The sequence below is a fragment of the Homo sapiens genome, chromosome 8, assembly GCF_000001405.40.
Source record: "Homo sapiens chromosome 8, GRCh38.p14 Primary Assembly".
NCBI classification, from domain to species: Eukaryota; Metazoa; Chordata; class Mammalia; order Primates; family Hominidae; genus Homo; species Homo sapiens.
The window spans coordinates 47,927,993-47,949,894 of NC_000008.11; the positions used below are offsets into that span (position 1 = coordinate 47,927,993).

The following is a 21,902-nucleotide window of genomic DNA, read 5'->3' on the forward strand; positions in this document are numbered from 1 at the left end:
AGCCTTTATTGACATGACCACATTCACTTACAAATTACACACTAACCTCCAGGAAAGTTAATTTGTCGAAATGCTTAATACCTACTACATGGAAAAACAAGAATCTATTTCATCTTGAGTTGTCATCACTCAACTGAATTATGTTAAGAGAGCTTGAGGGACTTTTTTTTTTTTTTTTTTTGTAAGATAGAGTCGTGCTGTCAGCCAGGCTGGAGTGCATGGTGCAATCTCGGCTCACTGCAACCTCTGCCATCCTTCAAGCGATTCTCCTGCCTCGGCATCCCAAGTAGGTGGGATTACAGGCATGTACAACCACACCTGGCTAATTTTTTGTATTTTTAGTACAGATGGGATTTCGCCATGTTGGCCAGGCTGGTCTTGAACTCCTGCCCTCAAGTGATCCACCCACCTTGGCCTCCCAAAGTGCTAGGATTACAGGCACGAACCAAAGTGCCTGGCTGAGGGACTTTTGAAGCACAATAACTTCCTCTAATTAGTTTTTTTAGGACCTTAGTCCCGCTCCAGATTTAGCAAACACATTTTTATTTTTATTTATTTATTTATTTATTTTTTTTTTTGAGACACAGTCTTGCTCTGTTCCCCAGGCTGGAGTGCAGTGGCACTATCTCGGCTCACTGCAACCTCCATCTCCCGGGTTCAAGCGATTCTCCTCCCCCAGCCTCCTAACCTGACACAATTGTTTTTTTTTGAGACAGAGTCTCGCTGTGTCACCCAGCCTGGAGTACAGTAGTGCAATCTCAGCTCACTGCAACTTCTGCCTCCAGGGTTCAATCAGTTCTCCTGCCTCAGCCTCACAGCCTACTGAGGAGCTGGGATTACAGGCGTGCACCACCACGCCTGGCTAATTTTTGTATTTTTAGTAGAGACACGGTTTCACTACATTGGTCAGGCTGGTCTCGAACTACTGACCTTGTGATCCTCCCACCTCGGCCTCCCAAAGTGCTGGGATTAAGGGCATGAGCCACCGCACCCAGCCCCAATTCTTAAAATAATTATTTATGATCACTAGGATTTTTTCAATAGATATTCATTTAAAAACAGTTCATGATAACACTAAGATAAATCATTTAAAAATTACCTCTTTGCCAAATTTCACAAATAAAGCAAAGCAAGAATACTTTTCTGGGTCTTCAGGAGAGTGTTTCAGACTCTTTGGACTAACTCCCTGTCAAATAAAACAGCAAGTTAGTACACTGAACAAGAATCGGGAGACTGTATCCCAATCCAGTAGTTCCTAGCCTGTCTTCAGAGGGGTGAATCCATTTCAAGTTACCAACATCTAATGAAGACAGGAGGCAGAATCAGCTCTGCAGACATTTCAAGGCACAGGCTAGTCAGAACAAGAGGAGGGAAGGTGGCAGCTAGTGAGAAGCCAAGCACACAGCTAAGTCCATTCCCTCTTCCTCATCTCACCCTGTAATTACCCAGGTGGGCTCCTCATGTGACTGACTGGAGCGTCGAGAATGCTAATCCAGTTGTTCTCAAACTTCACTGGGTGCCAGAATCACCTGGTGGTGCTTAGCAGGGCAGCAGAGACCTGCCCCCAAGGTTTGTGATGCAGAAAGCAATGCTCAAGGCTGCCGGTCCTGGGACCATACTTTGAGAGGCCTTGTTAATCTTACATAATTAGCCAGGTGTTTGAGCATCAGGGCAAAAAATGCTGCTAGCTTTTTAGAGTGCTATCCAACTGCCATTCACATATCAATTTTTTTAAACACATAGAATAAAATTAGTAGACTTTAAAACTGCATAGGCCACAATCACATATTTTATGATACATTTATATATACTCATGACCTAAAAAAACGCAAGATTCAACATCCTGCAAGAAAGACTCACCTCGAAATATTTTATTTTCTTGGCATTTCTTACTGTAATAGAAAGCAATTTGTAGAAACCACTGATGAGGGGCAACCTTGTAGATTGCAAAATTAATTCATATGAAAATGAGTACACCCATGGTTCAAAAAATTCTGCTTGTTTCTCAGGGAGAATCTCTCTGTAAAAACAAATTAGAAATTGAAGGTAGAAATTTGTATCATTCTGATCTTAAAATTGTAAGGGACATAATCGAACAACTAAGCTACAAACCCATCACGTAACATTTTGAGGTATCCTAAAATGTTTAGTTATATCTATAATCCATTTTTCTCTACCTGAGGATCTTTTAAATATAAAAAATGAAAACTGTAACCTAGTACACTTAGATATATTTTAAAGATCTATATAATCGATTACAGATTTTGTCTTTTATTATTTGTTATTTATTTATTTTTTGAGACGGAGTCTCGCTCCGTTGCTCAGGCTGGAGTGCAGTGGCGCAGTCTCGGCTCACTGCAAGCTCCACCTCCCGGGTTCATGCCATTCTCCTGCCTCAGCCTCCCGAGTAGCTGGGACTACAGGCGCCTGACACTATGCCCGGCGAATTTTTTGTATCTTTAGTAGAGATGGGGTTTCACCATGTTAGCCAGGATAGTCTTGATCTCCTGACCTCGTGATCCACCTGCCTCGGCCTCCCAAAGTGCTGGGATTACAGGCGTGAGCCACCGAACCCGGCCTATTATTTCATTTCTTACATCTATATAAGGAATTTCCTATATTACAGCCAATAACTAACAATCATTTTCATTCTTAAATAATTAGAATTTTACCAAATACCTGCAAAATTCCACCAGGTTAATGAAAGCCGAAAAATCTTTAGGTTTAGCTGGATGCAAGTTAGCCGCTGGATCTGAAGTTGGGATCATCCAAACACCAGGCGCCTCATCTCCATTCTTAAAGAGTAATTGTAGCAAAGAAACATTGTACCATTCAATCACGAATCACTCAACAAATAACTTTCCAACTGACTTCATGGTCAAGGCCTGATGCTACGAAGAAAGATTGCAACAGCGAGAAAGACCAAGATGGGTGCTCAAGACCTATGGTCTGATAAGAAGGGCAGGACTTGCAGAAAGCGTTAACCAAAAGGACTCACAGGAAGTGATGAGAGAATGGGACAAATAGGAAAATGCCAGAGGTGGGCAGCACTTCTTGAGGGAGCTAGCAATAATGCCTTGACAGAGATAGAATTTTAATAGGTGACCTAGAGATTTCAAGTGAAGAAAAAGAGAAATAGAGAAATTATTAACAGTAGTAAGAAAGATAAATGAAAAATGTGGTATTTTGGAAGTGCATGAAGATCAGTTTTAAACACGCTAAGTTTGTGTCACCAAATTTGTGTTACCAAACACAACTGTGTATTCAAATTAAAATGTTGCACAAGTAGTTAGAAATACAGAGCAGGAACCAACAAGGGAGGAGGAGGCTGGAGACCAAATATATCTGGGAAGTGCTAACAGGTGGTCATTGATCTGTTGGAATGAAGCTGGAAGGGCAGGGAACAGAGGAGAAAGGGAAGCCACTGAAGACAGCAATGAACACACATGTTCTAAAATGCAGGTCTGTCAGCTGACACAGTTCCAGGAAGTCCCTTTGGGCAAGTTTTTTTTTTTTTTAATAAAATTATTTTAGACATTTGCAAAGCACAGAGAGCAATAAACCACACATCAGTGTTGCTACCTATCATCCCGCATGAAAAACAGAATACTCCAAGTGCAATAAAGCTGATGTGACCACCGGCTTGTACTGTGTCCCTTCATGTTTCCTCTGCACATCCTCCCCATTGCCTCTTGTCTAACTTCTCAGGACTGCAGTGGAGGTACTGACGCATGAACTCGAATCAGCACCATCTGGTCTGAAACAATCACTGCAGTCGAAAGCAAGCAAGACACCTTCCCAGGATCTTAGTTCTTTCTCACCAGCCAAATTACCATGGAGTCCAGTTACCACCAATGCCTCGGACCAGAGCAGGGCAGCTCCAGACTTAAGCCATGACTTATCCTTTTGTTTTTTTGAGATGGAGTCTCACTCTGTCACCCAGGCTGGAGTGCAGTGGCGCAATCTCAGCTCACTGCAAGCTCCGCCTCCCGGGTTCACGCCATTCTCCTGCCTCTGCCTCCTGAGTACCTGGGATTACAGGTGCCCGCCACCACGCCCGGCTCATTTTTTTTGTATTTTGTTTGTTTGTTTGTTTGTTTGTTTGTTTTGAGACAGAGTCTCGCTCTGTCGCCCAGGCTGGAGTGCAGTGGTGCAATCTCGGCTCACTGCAACCTCCACCTCCCAGGTTCATGCCATTCTCCTGCCTCAGCCTCCCGAGCAGCTGGGACTACAGGCGCCCGCCACCATGCCTGGCTAATTTTTTGTATTTTTAGTAGAGACGAGGTTTCACCGTGTTAGCCAGGATGGTCTCGATCTCCTGACCTTGTGATCCGCCTGCCTCGGCCTCCCAAAGTGCTGGGATTACAGGCATGAGCCACCGCGCCTGGCCTTTTTTTGTATTTTTTAGTAGAGACGGGGTTTCATCGTGTTAGCCAGGATGGTCTCAATCTCCTGACCTCGTGATCTGCCTGCCTCGGCCTCCCAAAGTCCTGGGATTACAGGTTTCAGCTACCGCGCCAGGCCTAAGCCATGACTTATCTTTAACTCAGGCTAGGAAAATTGGGTGTGAAAAAAAGGGAGGGCATTTTCTTATTTCTCTTCCTATTATCTATATTTTCCTATATCAGGAACACATTTAACACCTTGTACCACAATTTGGAGTTTCCTTAACTATAAACAAGAGCAACCCCAGGTTTCCCTATCCCATACAAAGTCATTTCTACATAAAATAAGATTTCTGTCACTCTTTACTATTGCTAAGGAATAAGAAACAAATGAACCTAGTAAATAATTTTTTCAAAAAAAAAATTAACATATATAAATTACTTTTTGAACCATCTAGTAACAACATTTTCTATACAATAGGTTACATCCAACAGAAATGCATCAGTGGCACATAATAATCCTGAAGAACCAAATTTTCTCCAGTTCTCCTCTACAAATGTGCTATTGTCCCCTAAATATTTATATGCAAAGACAGCTGATACAAAAATGATGAAAAATTACTACTGATAAAAATTTCTAACCTCTTGTTCCCCAACAGTCTGTATTTCAAGTGTAAGATCCAATTTCTCAACAATCTTCAAAACGGATTTTACAAATTCATCATAAAGTAAATGATTCAGACTTTCACTGGAGGAATTCACAGAGAAAAATGCTTCATCTGCTAAAATAGAATCCTTTAAATAAAGAAAAACAATAAACTTCAAAATCTTGTGCAAAAATGTATTAGTATTTTATAAGCATTAAGACACATACACAGATGTATGTGCCGGTTTGGGTATTATGGAAACAGTGATGATAAACTGCAGCAGATTTACCTGGAAGTTTTCAAGTTGCAAGATACCTTCCTAAATTATTATAACAGCATCATTTCAGTCAGATGTCATTTATCCAGTCATGTAACAAATACTTACTCTGTATACAGCAGTAAGTGAGAAGATTTAGGCCAATCCTTGTCAAAGCATTTACCCCAATTAATCTGTGGATGTGTATGTATAAACACAAATATGTGTAATATGCATATATAGACACTATATCTTTTATGTCTGTGTACATGTAAGTACATGCACATATACTTATGTGCATACATAACTAAATATGCACACATATATAAACGTACACATACATACATACGTACAAATACATATATATCCATCCTCAGGCTGGACCTGTTAGGAAGAACAGCTTAGCATGAGCTATACCATCCTGCTATTTAAAGCTAAAATGAGGACTCAGCTACAGTAACTAATGTTAAAGGAGTTCTATGTCTGTGTTTCTTTCAATTCATTTATTTCCACTCTCATTCTAACTTCCTGATTCATACGGTTTTAATTTTTTATTTTTGAAGTACACTGTTTTAAACTTTTGAAAGTTAGTAAAATATAATTCTGAAATAAGTCTTATGTCTAAACTATGGAGACTAATAAAGGAAGTAAGGTACATTTATGGCTTTCAATGGTAAATGTTACCATCATCTGGTCAGAGCTCAGGAGATGTCTGAAGAGATCCACGTAGTCTTTGTATGTGGGCACCTTCCATTTGCCAGTTCTGACTTCCCCTGAAGCACGGTGGTCTTCAGATTCAGACTCAGGGCCCTGGCCAGAAAGACAGCATGACAATATGTAGTGATGGATTCTCAGAAGCAGCACTGCTGCCAGAACATGCTGGTTTTCAGAATTTTCTAAATTAAACTGCCACCCATAGGAGACCATATGATTAAGGAAGACATCGTATTAAAAAAGCATAATTTAAAAAGCTAAGGCCAGGTGCGGTGGCTCACACCTGTAATCCCAGCACTCTGGGAGGCCAAGGTGGGCGGATCACCTGAGGTCAAGAGTTTGAAACCAGCCTGGCCAACATGGCAAAATGTCTCTACTCTAAACACAAAAATTGGCTGGGCAAGGTGGCGGTCGCCTGTAATACCAGCTACTTGGGAGGCTAAGACAGGAGAATCGCTTGAACCTTGGAGGGGAAGGTTGCAGTGAGCCAAGATCGTGCCACTGCACTCCAGCCTGGGTGACAGAGCGAGACTCTGTCTCAAAAAATAAATAAATAAATAAATAGATAACGGAAAAATATGTGATTCTTCTGTGACTAAAACTGTGATACACCAACAAGTACTTCAATACAATATCCACTGAATGTGCTATCATCATTTATCTTGCTTTCGTACATAGTTCAATCTTTCATCTCATCATATGTCCTATAATTTCTGGGAACTAAGATATGCCTCCCTTAGCAATTTGTCCTAGAGTTTCAAGAGAGAAAACATTTCTGATTTACAAAAATGTATAAAACCTAAAGTTATGCTTAAAGATGTTTCATACCTTAGAAGTGTATTCACCTAACAAAATATAGAGGTATTATGTCCTACACTTTTCAAAATGTAAGGCATTGCTAATAACTAAGAAAAGAACGGCCACTTTTGCAAAATTATATTCGAAAACCTCAGCAACATTCCTAGCTTTCAGTGATAACAGATTAATTTTCTAAACATTAAATTCAGAATTTACCTTTGGAAGGACCACTGGTTTAGAACATATTCTGATTAAACCCTGATGCACTGAAAAAAGAAAAAGAAAACAAAAATGAAGGAAACACTGAAAAACAGAATCAAAACTCACAAAAAAAAACAAACAGTCATTATATTTTGGAACCCAACTTTACCTCTCAATTTATTTTCTAAGTTCATTCACGGCTTTAATTTTAAAACTTAAAACTATTGGCCAGGCGCGGTGGCTCATGCCTGTAATCCCAGCACTTTGGGAGGCTGAGGCAGGTGGATCAAAAGGTCAGGAGTTCGAGACCAGCCTAGCCAATATGGTGAAACCCTGTCTCTACTAAAACTACAAAAATTAGCCGGGCATGGTGGCGGGCGCCTGTAGTCCCAGCTACTCTGGAAGCTGAGGCAAGAGAATCGCTTGAACCCAGGAGGCAGTGGTTGCAGTGAGCCAAGATCATGCCACTGCACTCCAGCCTGGGGGACAGAGCGAGACTCTTGTCACCAAAAAAAATGAAAAAAAACTATTAAAATTAATAGTTCTATTAATAGAACTATTAAAATTCAGAGGTAATAGGATGAAAAAAAGGAAAAGATTTTGGTCTACCAAAATTTAGGAGTTCAAAAGTTGTGTCAAAGATACAAAAGAATTTGGTAACCAGATTCTCTTTACCTATATCAAATAATGTGTTAATTATCCATCATTACTCATAAATACAATAAATTGCAAACTTACCCACAGTACTAATGCAATTCCTGAGAACTGGCCCTTTTGCTGCCAAAGCTAGGAACACCTTCACTATGGCTCTGCAACACACCAGCTGCATTTTTGGACTGTACTGTGGGAAACTGTCTATCTGCATCACCACGAGGTGCTCCAGAACTGGAGTATACACCTCAGGAACCTACCGGAAATAATCAGCAAACCGTGAGTTAGAGGAGGTAATCAATGAATACAGGAATAATACAAATATTCAAAGTAATTACAACTGAATTAGATACTTATTAAAAGAAAAACATGGTTTGTCATCTAACCTGCTGCTTAACATGTATTACTGTGATTGCCTTAAAAAAAAAACACACACTCAGAGTAAAAATTGTCTTGAGGTGCAATTCTATCCCAAGCAACAATTCCAAATCTTTCAGAAAGATGGAAGGAGAAACAAATATTTTTTTCCTGTTCTGGATAACAAAAAATCGAGTTTCATGACAATAATTCTATTGCCACAAAGTACTAACTAAAACTGTCATGTTGTTCCCAACAGTGCCTACACTAAATGTATTGTATGACTCCATCAAATTATTTGAAGAAATGAAGATTAAATACTTAAAATTGTGCTCAGTTTAGTTCACTTACTGTGTCAAGGTACAGCAAGACGCTTGCAACAGACTGGAGGAAGCTTGGCATCTGATAAACACGGTCGTCACCAGTGTCTGTCTGGGTGAGGAACATCTGCTTGCAGCGCTGAATGAGCTCAACGTACATGAAGTCAACATCTTTTGCGTTTATAACCTTGCACGGCTTTAGAAAAGGTAAAACAGAAGTCTTCATCAATCTTATCAAGATCAAAATAATATTTAAGGTGTCATGTTAAGCCATGTGATTATAAACACAAGTTTAACAAGGCTTCTTTTTTTTTTGAGACGAAGTTTCGCTCTTGTCCAGGCTGGAGTGCAATGGCGTGATCTCAGCTCACCACAACCTCCAACTCCCAGGTTCAAGTGATTCTCCCGCTTCAGCCTCCCGAGTAGCTGGGATTACAGGCATGTGCCACCACGCCTGGCTATTTTTTTTTTTTTTTTGTATTAAGTAGAGACAGGGTTTCTCCGTGTTGGTCAGGCTGGTCTCAAACTCCCGACCTCAGGTGATCTGCCCACCTCAGCCTCCCAAAGTGCTGGGATTACAGGCGGGAGCCACTGTGCCCAGCCACAAGCTTTTTAATTAAGAAGAAATACAGATATAAAATACAGTATCTGGCCGGGTGCGGCGGCCCATGCCTGTAATCCCAGCACTTTGGGAGGCCGAGGCGGGCAGATCACTTGAGGTCACGAGTTTGAGACCAGCCTGACCACCATGGTGAAACCCCGTCTCTACTTAAAAAAAAAAAAAAAAAAATTGGCCAGGCATGGTGGCGCACAACTGTAATCCCAGCTACTCAAGAGGCTGAGGCAGGAGAATCACTTGAACCCAGGAAGCGGAGGTTGCGGTGAGCTGAGATCGCGCCACTGCACTCCAGCCTGGGCAACAGTGAGGTTCCACCTCAAAAAATAAATAAATAAATAAAATATATCTCATTATAAAGATGCTTTGTATAATAATCTGTAACCACATTTTAAATATTTATTCACACAGGAAGCATTTATTGGTTGTCAGCTATGTTCTAGGCACTGTTTAGACAGTGGGTACTGAGGACAAATGAGAGGCAGTCCCTGCCCCAAGGCTGTCCACCTACAGGAGAGGCCAGGAGTCCATACATGACTGGAAGATGCTCCATGTCACACACCCTACCACACCAGAGCCATTTTTTCAGACTCACAAATGCGCTAATGTAATTGCTCAATTTCAGACTTTTCCAAGGCTTCTTTTCTAGGACTTCTGAATCTAGTCCAGGCTCCCCGAGGATCTGATGGTGCACCTCTTCAGATCCATTTCCCCTCTCCTGCCTATCATGCTCTAGCCACAGGGACAAGCTCAAGTGGGGATAGATCACTGTGTAAAGGGAAAATCTCATGCAATCTTTTAGCTCAGAGCCTTCTGCCATTCTGTTTCTTCTGCCCTAAGCATATTTAAAGTCGCCAACAGAGACAAATGGAGATGAAGATTAAGAAAAAGGGAAAGGCTGGGCACTGTGGCTTACAGCTGTAAGTCCAGTGCTTTGGGGACTGAGGCGGGAGGTTTGCTTGAAGCCAGGAGTTCATGAACAGTCTGTGTAACGAAGTGAGATATCGTCTCTACGAAAGATTAAAAAATTTGCTGGGCATGGTGGCTCATGTCTGTGGTCCCAGTTACTCGGGAAGTTAAGGCAGCAGGATTGCTTAGCCCTAGAGGTCAGGGCTACAGTGAGTTATGATTGTACCACTACACTCCAGCCTGAGAGGCAAAAAAGAAAAAGAAAGGAAAAAGGGAGAGGCCAGGAGCGGTGGCTCATGCCTGTAATCCCAGCACTTTGGGAGGCCAAGGTGGGCGGATCACCTGAGGTCGGGAGTTCGGGACCAGCCTGACCAACATGGAGAAACCCTGTCTCTACTAAAAATACAAAAAAAAAAATACCCAGGTGTGGTGGAGCATGCCTGTAATCCCAGCACTTGGGAGGCTGAGGCAGGAGAATTGCTTGAACCCGGGAGGTGGAGGTTGTGGTGAGCCGAGGTCATGCCATCGCACTCCAGCCTGGGCAACAAAAGCGAAACTCCAACTCAAAAATTAAAAAAAAAAAAGAAAGAAAAAAAGAAAGAAGAAAAAAAGGGAGAGATTGTAGGAAGAAAAAAGAAATCAGTTGTTTTTTCTACAAAGCAGAAGTCACAGAATTCCACTAAGAGGAAATAACTAGGGTTATTCTCAATATTTTTTCTTTAAAAAAAAATTTTTAAGAGATAGTGTCTCTGTTGCCCAGATTGGAGTGCAGTGGCTCGATCACAGCTCACTGCCACCTCTGCCTCCTGAGTTTAAGAGATTCTCCTGCCTCAGCCTCCCAAGCAGTTGGGATTACAGGTATGTGCTACCATGCCCGGCTAATTTTTGTATTTTTAGTACAGACAGGGTTTTACCACCTTGGCCAGGCTGGTCTCAAACCCCTGACCTCAGGCAATCTGCCCGCCTCGGCCTCCCAAAGCGGTGAGATGGTGAGATTACAGGTGTGGGCCGCCACACCTAGCTAATATTCTTAAATATATCTCTTTCTGTCATATAAACTTTTTTTTTAACTTCTCTTCCTAAAACGTTGTGAAATCAACTACAATTTTACTTTAGGAATAAGGAGCAGCATAGCACAGAGGGGAAACATGGTGTTTCTATTCTTCACACTTGGACTTATGCCTTGGTTCTGTCAATTCTGAGTCTCTTGACAAGTTTCCTAATTTCTCTGCATCTCAGTTTGCTAATCTGCAAAACAGAGTAATACTGAGCTCCTAAGGGTTAGGAGATTTTGAGATACCACATGTAAAGAATTCTAGTACACAGCAGACACTGAAGAAATCTTAACTGTTAATAAACAATACTAATACAGTGACCCTCAGTACATGCGGGAGGGATTGGTTCCAGGCCTCCTCAGTATACCTAAATCCATGCATACTCAAGTCCCACAGTCACCCTGTGGAAGCCTCATATACAAAAGGTCAGCCCTCTATATAAGTTTCACATCCAGCACACACTGTATTTTTGATCCGTATGGTAGAAAAACATCTGCATGTAAGTGAGCCTGTGCAGTTCACGCCCATGTTATTCAAGGGTCTACTGTATTGTTACAAGTATTAGACACTATTCAAAATGCAATGAATTAGATTCCTTTAAACAATCACGTGAAACCAAGACAAAATAGAGTAAGTTAATGAGACATACTCCTGCAAAAAGTCCATATCCACGGATAGCAATAGATAACTCCTTGTTGTTCGAATCCACATTTCTGATGATTCCATAAAACTGCTCCATAAAGTACTGCAGTTTATTTTTATGCATTTCTGCATTTTTCGCCACCATATTAGAAACCTGCAAATACATAATATTTATTTTTTTGGAAATATTTAATAGCAATGGAATCTATACAAACATGGAAAAACTAGAACTGTTTAGATGCTACTAATGTACTGTTATAGTTACACGCAATTGCTTTTAATCATAAAGACCCTTTGCTTCCATTTTGCTTAGTCTCTATCAGGTTCAGAAAAGTGTCTTAAATAAGGCTATGTGATACATTTTTCCTAGAGAAGGGACTAAGAGACCAAGGATACACATAAGTCTGAAAAAAAAAAAAAAAAAAAACCAAAAACAGGTTTTGAATTAAGGCTCTCTGAGGAAGCAAAGAGCAGTCTTTAGAGCTCACCTGTCACCCACAGGGTGAAAGAGAGCTGTCAGGGGACCAGTGACTTCAGACATCGTCAATAAACAGAGTTCAGAACAATCTCACCTGTCACCCACAGGGTGAAAGAGAGCTGTCAGGGGACCAGTGACTTCAGACGTCATCAATAAATAGAGTTCAGAACAATCAGAAAGACAAAGCATCTCAGTTTTCAAAAAAATAAGCTACAAACTATAAAGCTTAAATTAAGTGATGCAAGGGGAAAATGTCGTCTGAGAAGCAAATAGATCATTATTTACCAAACCAAGAGACAAGAGCCTAAATGCAAGAACTAATACAGGTATTCAAAGAGCATTCCCCATTTCAGCACAAAGACTGCCCAGAATAAGAATGGAAGAAATCTATCTAGACAATTATCAAAGGCAGAAAAAAAAATCCACCTTCCACTGCCAACTTATCCATACACTTCCCAATCCCCCTAAAGCCACTAGGTCTTAGCGCCTGACCTTCGGGGAACTTTGCTCCTTATTTGTTTTAGAAGAATGAAACATTGTATATACTGTTTCATAATTTCCTTCTTCACAAAACATATCATAAATGTTTCTCAAGAAGTAAACAACAGCATTTTACTTAATTACAGAATAGCAAATATTATATACTATAATGCTAATTTTCTATTATTGTATTCCCAGTAAGCATGTTTTTAACGCATCTTTATTCAACTATTTCCTGGATATAGTATTAAAGACTTGAAAATAATTATTCAACAGTAGCAGACAGAGGACAGATTAAAACACTATGGCTCATAAATATCATATATTACACTGCCACTGAAAATTAATCACACAGATGTTGGCCGGGCGCAGTAGCTCACGCCTGTCATCCCAGCCCTTTGGGAGGCCAAGAAGGGTGGATGACCTGAGGTCAGCCTGGCCAACATGGTGAAACCCTGTCTCTAACAAAAATACAAAAATTATCCAGGCACGGTGGCAGGTGCCTATAATCCCAACTATTTGGGAGGCTGAGGCACGAGAATTGCTTAAACGCAGGAGGCAGAGGTTGCAGTAACCCAAGCTTGCGCTACTGCACTCCAGCCTGGGTGACAGAGCAAAACTCCATCTCAAAAAAAAAAAAAAACCAAAAAAACAGCAACAAAAAAAACACATCATATAGATGTCACTGTGAGGAAAATATATTCAACATAGTGGAAAAAAGGCCAAAAAATTATGTATCCTTTATGTAAAGTCCTCTTTCCCTCTTTCTTCCTCTCTCCTCACTCCCTATTCTGAAGAAGGAGGGAAAGAGGGTGCCTCTCCTTGCCTGGGGCCTCAGGTCACAAGGGATGATCTAATAATGGGACTCAGGGTGGAGCTGACCACACCTGGTAACAATGTGACTCGGAATGGGAGCTTTGGGTCACACAGCATCCCTGGAAGCCGAGACCCAACAACCCACTATGCCTACAGGGTGGGGCCCCAAGGGAAACCCCAAACACAGAGGTTTGGGGGAGCACCCAGTCAATGCTCCACACATGGATGCTGGGAAAGGAATGCTGCCCTGACTCTGCGGGGAGAGGACCAGGGAAGATCCACATTTGGTACTTTCTTCATCTCTGCACTGTGTGCCGCTTCCTTCGGTTGATTTTTATCTGGGCCCTTTAGCTGTAATAAACCATAGATGTGAGTATCAAATTTGAGGGTATATTGCAAACTCCCAAACTTGCAACAGGCATCAGCCCTGAGGGCAGCATTGAGGATAGTTCTCTTGAACTTCTCCCCTGACTAAGCTCAAATAACTTTCTCACGAGGTAGAGATTAGCAGGTAGAATATATTTCCTCAATGAAACTCTAAAATCTATTCAATGTAGTTTTCATTAAGAATTGGAGTGGGGGACTGAAAAGTCTCTGGCAAGGATGTGAAACAGAGATGTCTGCGTGGCTCATTAAAGACAACCAGCGCAGTGGAGGGAGGGCTGGCCGGCTTCCCTGCAGGCCCACGCCCCACCCAGCCCTGTGCTAGGAAAGGCAGGCATCGCTAGGGAACAAGGCCCCCAGGGTGCCACCAGGGATGATCCCTCTGCACACATTCCGGACACTCCTCCTTGCTAACAAGGCATGAAATTCTCTCTGTCAAGATGTTTATCGCAGTAAATGTTTACTGAGATCCAAACATATTCATATGAATCAGTAAAAAATAATTCCTCTGATTTTTATTTCCCTTAGCAAGTAAGGCCAGCCAAGTTCAGCGTAACAGGAGTTTTATGAGAAGGACCAAGGTAACCTCAAAGCCAAGAGTGACTTCAGGGGGAACACAAGTCTGACGGGAAGGCCAAGTACAGCAGGGAGACTAAGGAGGCGAGAGGGACAGGCGGCAGAGGCAGAGGCCAAAGATGAGGCCCATCGGCTCAGTTTTTTGGAAGGCAGGCCCAGACATGAAAAAAGGATGCCAGTGCTCTCTCTTCTCCTTCCACACATCCCGGCTGTGACTCTCAGGCTAACACAACTGCCACACTGTTCACACAGGTTTGCATGGATACCCTGTGAATGCAGCTACTGTTTACCCATGTACAGCAGGGCCCCTAAGAAAACATTTGTTGTGAATCTCCAGTCCTTTCCCTCAGAGCAACCCCAGAAGTCCACTTCCTTAATGGCCAGGCCCCTGCAGCCACCTCTGGACACCCAGGACATCCTGGAGACCAGTGCTCAGAATGACAAGCACGGTCTCCTCAGCCGACCAGACAAGCTTCCACATACGCAGGTACAGATTCTGTAACCACCTCCTATCCAGGTGGAAAATCCACAATGGCAAAGAGGCACCCCTTGTTTTCAAGTTGACACACAAGCATCTATCCCCTGGAGACAGCTAGCCCTCCTCTTCCAGGAGAGATGGGGCTCCCCTCAGCCCTCCACCCACTCTCCAGCCCTGACCTCCCAGCCCTTCCGGCCATCACCTCACCACGTCTTTGCTCCATTACACTTGTCTCAATCTAGGCTCTGAGGCCCTAATCAAATCTGGCATCTCCCTAGCTCTCTTTCAGTCTGGCTGCCTCCCATATGGCTGGCTGATCAACATCTTTCTGCTTTAAATACTACAGAAGCTACAGATCAACTTGTATTTATTTTCAAACATGCATGCATGCAAAGGGAATTTAATTCTGTGTGTGAAAGAAATATTGTTAAATGACAGTTGAATTTGTGGTACCTGTTTCAGAAAGGATTCCAGGGCTGAAAGTGCAGCTTTTTTCAATTCTACATTTGTGTGGGCACACCACTTTAACAAGACTTCAAATAGAGACACGTAGTTGTCCAGAAGGCAGGTGCTAAACTGAGATGCATGCAGGGCAAATAGGCGCAAGCCAGCTGCAAATGCAAATGCCATTATATTTAAAATCAGACGACATAACACAGAACAGAAAACCAACAAACCTGCAGGGATATGTCAAAGTCAACACTGTGCTCAGGAAGATCTAGTACCATTACACTACAGTAACCCAGGGATTCCTGTCAGAGCTCTAACACTACCAATTAACAGGCCCATAACTTGGCTGACAAATCCCAAAACAAGGGTCAGAAGTGGAATCAGGATTCATTGAGGCAAAGTCAGAATCAAACAGCCTGGATCCCCTGAAAGATACCCTAAAATAAAGTGCTTTCAACCATGTAACCTGAGTATCAGCATTTCAACCAGAGCTTACTAAGTCACCGAAAGCCTCCCTGTAAATAACTGTGTGTGAAACATCACAGATGTTATCACATTTGCTTTCATTCAAAGTTTAAGCAAAAGCTTACTTGAGATGTTAATTTAGTAATCTAAAATATTATACCTCATTATAAACAGAATCCTACCTGAGGGCACAGCATATCTCTTCAGATCAATCTATTTTAGAAAAGAAAAATTCACCATCAGTATTTGAAAGTCTGCACTGTAAAGGCATTAGAATAATATTAATAGTAATATTAATCCTACCTGAGGACGAATTGCCTTTAGTACAAAATTAAAAATCTCCCTTGAAGTCTGGGGATCTAGGGAAATACCAAGAAGCCTGTTACAAATCGTAATAACAGTATCACATAACACACTTTACAGACAGCTTGACACCTATATTAACCCCATTAATCTCTTGTGAATTCAGGAGAAACATCTTTCATCATTCCATCCAGCTAAAGTTGCAAGTTATTACTGCTGCACGGTTATGACTGCGAGAAAACAGAAAGAAAATCTGGAATAACAAAGACATGGTTTAAGCACCAACCTATCACTTACAAGCTCTAAGAGATTTAAACACCAACTCATCACTTAAAAGCTCTGTTAGATAATCTCTCAGAGCCTCAATTTTCTTATTTGCAATAGGGACCGTATATACCTTTTAGGATAGTCTGGAGGATTAAATAAAGTAACTTACTCATGGCCAAACATACCATTCTCCCCAATACACCCAGGCATTTATTCAACACCTAGTACATGTAAGAAAAAAATTAAAAAAAAAAAAAAAACAGAAAAAAAAACATAGTACATGCCAAGATATTATGACAATTACAAATACAAATAAATTATGATCTTTGACCTCAGCATACTTATTAACTAAAAGGGAAGATAAAACAGGCACATAACTATAACATGAGGCTCTAATCCTGGCCTGACTGACATCACAATTATTTGCATAACTGTCTCCCACCACATTATTCATTGTAGCTATAGAGTCATGCTTTATTCATCACTAATTTCTCTACCCTTCTAACAGTGACTTGTAATCAGCAGAGACTCAAGAACTGTTTGCTTTTCATTGCAAGGACTGACATATTTGAGACAGAGCCCTGATGATGATGTGATAGGAGGTGGAGAGAGAATGTGGTCAGAGAGGCCTTAAAGCAGAGAAACATCTGTATGGTTGCAGAATGGTGGCATAAATGAGATACAAAAAAAGCTACTTTGGAATTCATGACAAGCAGATTTCTTCTGACTATGAGTATTCTATAAAGGCTTTCCAGATATGGTAGCATTTGTTCTAAGACTGAAAGAATAGGTACTAGTTGGGGAAAAGGTCATTCAGATAGAAAATAGTCATGTTAATAAACGCAAGTGTGCAGACACAAGGACACCCACAGTACACAGTGGGTTTAGGGTGGGGACTTAGCAAGGACAGACTTCTCCAGGCTCTGCCCTCCACAGTCCACTCTCCTGCAGCCCCTCCCTCTAGTGGCCCACTCCCTGTAGAAGCATGGTCTTGTATCTGTTTTTTTCAATGTGGTAAAACAGACATATTTATCATTTAAACAATGTGTACAGATACAATTCGTTGGCACTAAACATATTCACACTGTTGTGTAACCATCACTATTGTCTATACCCAAAATGTTTTCACCATCAATAACAGAAGGGTGCCCATCAAACACTAACTCCCATTTCCCCTCCCCCAGCCCCAGTAACCTCTATTTTACTTTGTCTCTGTGAATCTGACTACTCTAAGTACCTCGTGTGAGTGAAACCACACATTGTTTGCCTTTCGTGGCTGGCTTATTCCACTTAGCATCCTGTCTGCAAGGTTCATCCATGCTGCAGCATGTGTCAGACTTTCCTGCCTTTTTAAGTCTAAGTAATGTTCCATTGTGTCTACGTGCCATATTTTGCTTATCCATTCATCCCTGGATGAACACTTGGGTGGTTCTGGCCCTTTGGCTCACTATGGACTTGCTGCTAGGAACATAGGTGTGAAAATTCTATCCTTTTTTTTTGACACCGAGTTTCACTCTATCACCCAGGCTGGAGTGCAGTGGCACGATCTCAGCTCACCACAACCTCCACTTCCTGGGTTCAAGCTATTCTCCTGTCTCAGCCTCCCGAGTAGCTGGGATTACAGGCGCCTGCCACCACGCCCGGCTAATTGTTTTGTATTTTTAGTAGAGATGGGGTTTCACTATCTTGGCCAAGCTGGTCTTGAACTCCTGACCTCATGATACACCTGCCTCAGCCTCCCAAAGTGCCGGGATTACAGGTGTGAGCCACCACGCCCGGCCTACTTCTACTTTTTAAACCCCCTCTTGGCCAGGTGCAGTGGCTCACACCTGTAATCCCAGCACTTTGGGAGGCCAAGGTGGGCAGATCACCTGAGGTCAGGAGTTTGAGACCAGCCTGGCCAACACAGTGAAACCCCGTCTCTACTAAAAATAGGAAAAATTAGCTGGGTGTGGTGGCGCATACCGGTAATCCCAGCTACTTGGTAGGCTGAGGCATGAGAATTGCTTGAACTCGGGAGGCAGAGGCTGCAGTGAGCCAAGATCGTGCCACTGCACTCCAACAAGACTCTGCCTCAAAAAAAAACCCCTCTCTTACCCCCACATCTCCCATCAGCCACAGCCCATTTCTTTACTCTCTTCCATTACAAGATTTGTCTAGCATGTTTTCTACAAATGGCCTCCACTTCCTCCCGCTCTTCACTCTAGAGGTCCCATTTCTCCAATGTTCAATGGATGTGGTTCTCGTGGAGCTGAACCCACCACTTACTGCCAGTTCCTCCTCCTCCCCAAACTCCACCGGATGCGAGGCAGCCCTGCACTGCCTCCTCAGCACTCTCTTGAGACCCTCCGCCTGGTCTCTGCACTCTCACCCCCTCCTCATCTTGCTCACACTCCTAACTTTAAATACTACCTACGTGATGAAGACCTCCAAATGTATAGCCTGAAGTCTGATTTCTGCTGCAAGATCCCCTGTTACACGCACAACTGCACACCTGATATCTAAGCCTGGATGCTTCCTAAGTGTCTCTAGTTAAATATATCCAACACAAAAGGCCAGGTTTCTACAAAAAACCCGGTCTCTCCCATCCCATTCAGCTTAGGAGTCACTGCACAGCCCTCAGTCCCTCACTCACAGTCTCTCAATCCTACACTAACTCACATCCCACACCCAACAGCAGTCAGGCAGACCCCTGTGAAACATCTCTTGGCCCACATCCACTCCTTTTTGAAAAGCTCTGGCTCCCATTCCATCTGGAATGAGATCCCAGCTCAGAAAACTGTCAAACACCAACCCTGCGTCCTTCCCATCTCACCCTGGCCCACTTTGTGTACCTCCACACTCTTGACACACCAGCTCTTGTGGACCCTCGGACCACTGCACGCAGGCTAAGCACAGGGCTAGAGACTGGCCGAGCATGGGGCCAGGTGCTGAGCAGCTGCTGCCTGGAATGACTGCTCTTCCCAGCACTTCCCCAGCTGTCTCCCTCTCCTCCTTCTGATCACGACTTCTGCGTTACATCCTCAGAAAGTACCCGTGGGTCGTGTGCTCCACCTCTCCAAATTCTGGCATTCCTCTTCACTACACCCCACCTCTGGGCACTGCTGAACCCCAAAATCAGCAGAGCTGCTTTATTTGTTCATCTGTCTCCTCCACTAGACTGAGCTCATGATGGTAGGAACTTGGTGATTTCAATTACTGGTTTAACACCAAGTTCATCACTCTTTAGATAGATGGCACCCATGGCCAGGCACAGTGCCTCAAGCCTGTAATCTGAGCACCTTTGGGAGGGTAAGGCGGGTGGATTGCTTCAGCTCAGGAGTTCAAGACAAGCCTGACCGACATGGTGAAACCCCATCTCTACAAAAAATACAAAAATTAGTTGGGGCCGGGTACAGTGGCTTATGCCTGTAATCCCGGCACTTTGGAGGCCAAGGCAGGTGGATTGCTTGAGCCCAGGAGTTCAAGACCAGCCTGGGCAACATGGTGAAACCCCGTCTCTACTAAAAACACAAAAATTAGCTGGACATGGCATTGCGCACCTATAATCCCAGCTACTTGGGAGGCTCAGGCACAAGAATCACTTGAACGTGGGAGGCAGAGGTTACAGTGAGCCAAGATCGCGCCACTGCACTCCAGTCTAGGTGACAGGGCAAGACTCAAGTCTCAAAAAGAAAAATAAAATAAAAATTAGCAGGACATGGTGGCATGCACCTATAGTCCCCAGCTACTTGGGGAGGACCACGGTGGGAGCATCATTTGAGCCCAGGAGGTTGAGGATGCAGTGAGCCCATATCACAGCACTGCACTACAGCCTGGATAACAAAGTGAGACCCTGTCTCAAAAAAAATATATTTGCACACACACACACACACACACACACACGCGTTTATATATATGTATATATATAAAAATTTTTTTTGAGATGGAGTCTTGCTCTGTTGCCAGGCTGGAGGGCAGTGGCGCGATCTCGGGTCACTGCAGCCTCTGCCTCCCAGGTTCAAGATTACAGGCATGTGCCACCATGCCCAGCTAATTTTTGTATTTTTAGTAGAGACGGGATTTCACCACGTTGGCCAGGATGGTCTCGATCTCTTGACCTTGTGATCTGCCCACCTCAGCCTCCCAAAGTGCTGGGATTACAGGCGGGAGCCACCTTGCCTGGCCTTACAATTATTTTTATAAGTCATTCATACAGTCTGTATTTCCTGGGTGCCTTGTTTTTTTTTTTTTTTTGAGACAGAGTTTTGTTCTTGTCGCCCAGGCTGGAGTGCAATGGCGCGATCTCAGCTCACTGCAACCTCCGCCTCCCAGGTTCAAGTGATTCTCCTGCCTCAGCCTCCTGAGTAGCTGGGATTACAGGCATGCGCCACCACGCCCAGCTAATTTTTTGTATTTTTTAGTAGAGACGGGGTTTCTCCATGTTGGTCAGGCTGGTCTCGAACTCCCAGCCTCAGGTGATCCGCCCACCTCAGCCTCCCAAAGTGCTGGGATTACAGGCGTGAGCCACCGCGCCCGGCCCTGGGTGCCTTATATATATGTACCCATGAATTAGTATTTAGTGCTTGAAGTCACATGATCATGGCATCACAAAAAAAGTATAAATTTTAGCCTCAGACCAAGGCTTAAATCCCAGACTTGCCATTTGTTAGCTATATTAGTTTCCTAGTGTTGCCATAACAACTTACCACAAACTTAATAGTTTAAAACAATACAGATTTATTACCTATAATTCTAAAGGTGAGAAGTCTGAAATGATTCTCATATTGAGCTAAATTTAAGGCATCAGCAGGGCTGTGCTCCTTCCAAGAGGCTCTAGGGGAGAACCCTTTTCTCACTTCTCCAGCCTCCAGAGGCACCCCCATGCCTTGGCTCCTGCCGCCTTCCAGATCCCCTTCCTCTGACCTCCTCTGTGCCTCCCTCTTCCACATTTAAGGACCCTGTGATCACACCAAGCCCATGGGGATGATCCAGGATCATCTCTTCAGTTCAAGGTCAGCTGATTAGCAACCTTAATTCCGCTATGCCATGAAGCATAACAGGGATTAGGATGGGACACCCTGGTGGCCATTATTCTCCTAACCACGCAAGTCACTGTGTAACTTGGGGCAAGTTACTTAACCTGTCTGAGTGGCAGTTTACTAATCTATACAACAGAGACATTTTACCTGCCATGAAGAGTCATTACAGGAACTTGCCTTGCAACACGTCTAGAATAGTCCTTAACACACAATAAATGAGCACTAAGTGCTACTATTTTCCTTCCACTATATATGTTCACTGAGTGCTGATTTATAAGCCAAGTAAACATAAAGACAAATAAGCAACATCACCTGCCAACAGGGTCAAAGGAGAGAATTAAACATATGACCTAACAAACTTAAAATATGACCGTAAGTGCTGTCACAGAGGGGAGTACAGAGGCCAGAGGAAGTGCTCACCTCAGGGGAATCATAAATGCTTCCTAAGAGGGGTGACAGTTGAAAAGAAGCTGAGGAAGTGGGAGCCATAGGATACAGGAGAGAGGAGAGAGAAGACACGAAGGAAAATTACACAGGGCTACTCTAACAATCTTGATAAGCAAGGAAGAAGGCATGGGTAGAAACATTAGCTTAAAATGAAACTGCTGCCTACATAGGTTAAAAAAAAATCAT

General features: G+C 43.0%; 1 protein-coding gene and 1 long non-coding RNA gene across 3 annotated transcripts in view; one reads left to right on the forward strand and one right to left on the reverse strand.

Annotated features, from left to right (window-relative positions):
• The window catches only part of PRKDC (protein kinase, DNA-activated, catalytic subunit), a 187,026-nt gene that overhangs the window by 154,882 nt on the left and 10,242 nt on the right, over positions 1-21,902 (reverse strand). For both annotated transcript variants that reach the window (NM_001081640.2, NM_006904.7), the window contains exons 8-19: positions 15,982-16,037; positions 15,861-15,891; positions 15,217-15,374; positions 11,559-11,705; positions 8,361-8,525; positions 7,740-7,908; positions 7,017-7,066; positions 5,973-6,098; positions 5,028-5,180; positions 2,680-2,795; positions 1,861-2,020; positions 1,100-1,186 (exon numbers count right to left, since the gene is read on the reverse strand). In NM_001081640.2, the coding sequence (NP_001075109.1) occupies positions 1,100-1,186; positions 1,861-2,020; positions 2,680-2,795; positions 5,028-5,180; positions 5,973-6,098; positions 7,017-7,066; positions 7,740-7,908; positions 8,361-8,525; positions 11,559-11,705; positions 15,217-15,374; positions 15,861-15,891; positions 15,982-16,037 (1,418 nt within the window). The remainder of the gene's footprint in view (positions 1-1,099; positions 1,187-1,860; positions 2,021-2,679; positions 2,796-5,027; positions 5,181-5,972; positions 6,099-7,016; positions 7,067-7,739; positions 7,909-8,360; positions 8,526-11,558; positions 11,706-15,216; positions 15,375-15,860; positions 15,892-15,981; positions 16,038-21,902) is intronic.
• LOC105375818 (uncharacterized) lies at positions 13,434-16,548 on the forward strand. The gene is made up of 3 exons (XR_007060906.1): positions 13,434-13,694; positions 14,238-14,772; positions 16,148-16,548. It is a non-coding gene; the product is annotated as an uncharacterized LOC105375818 (long non-coding RNA).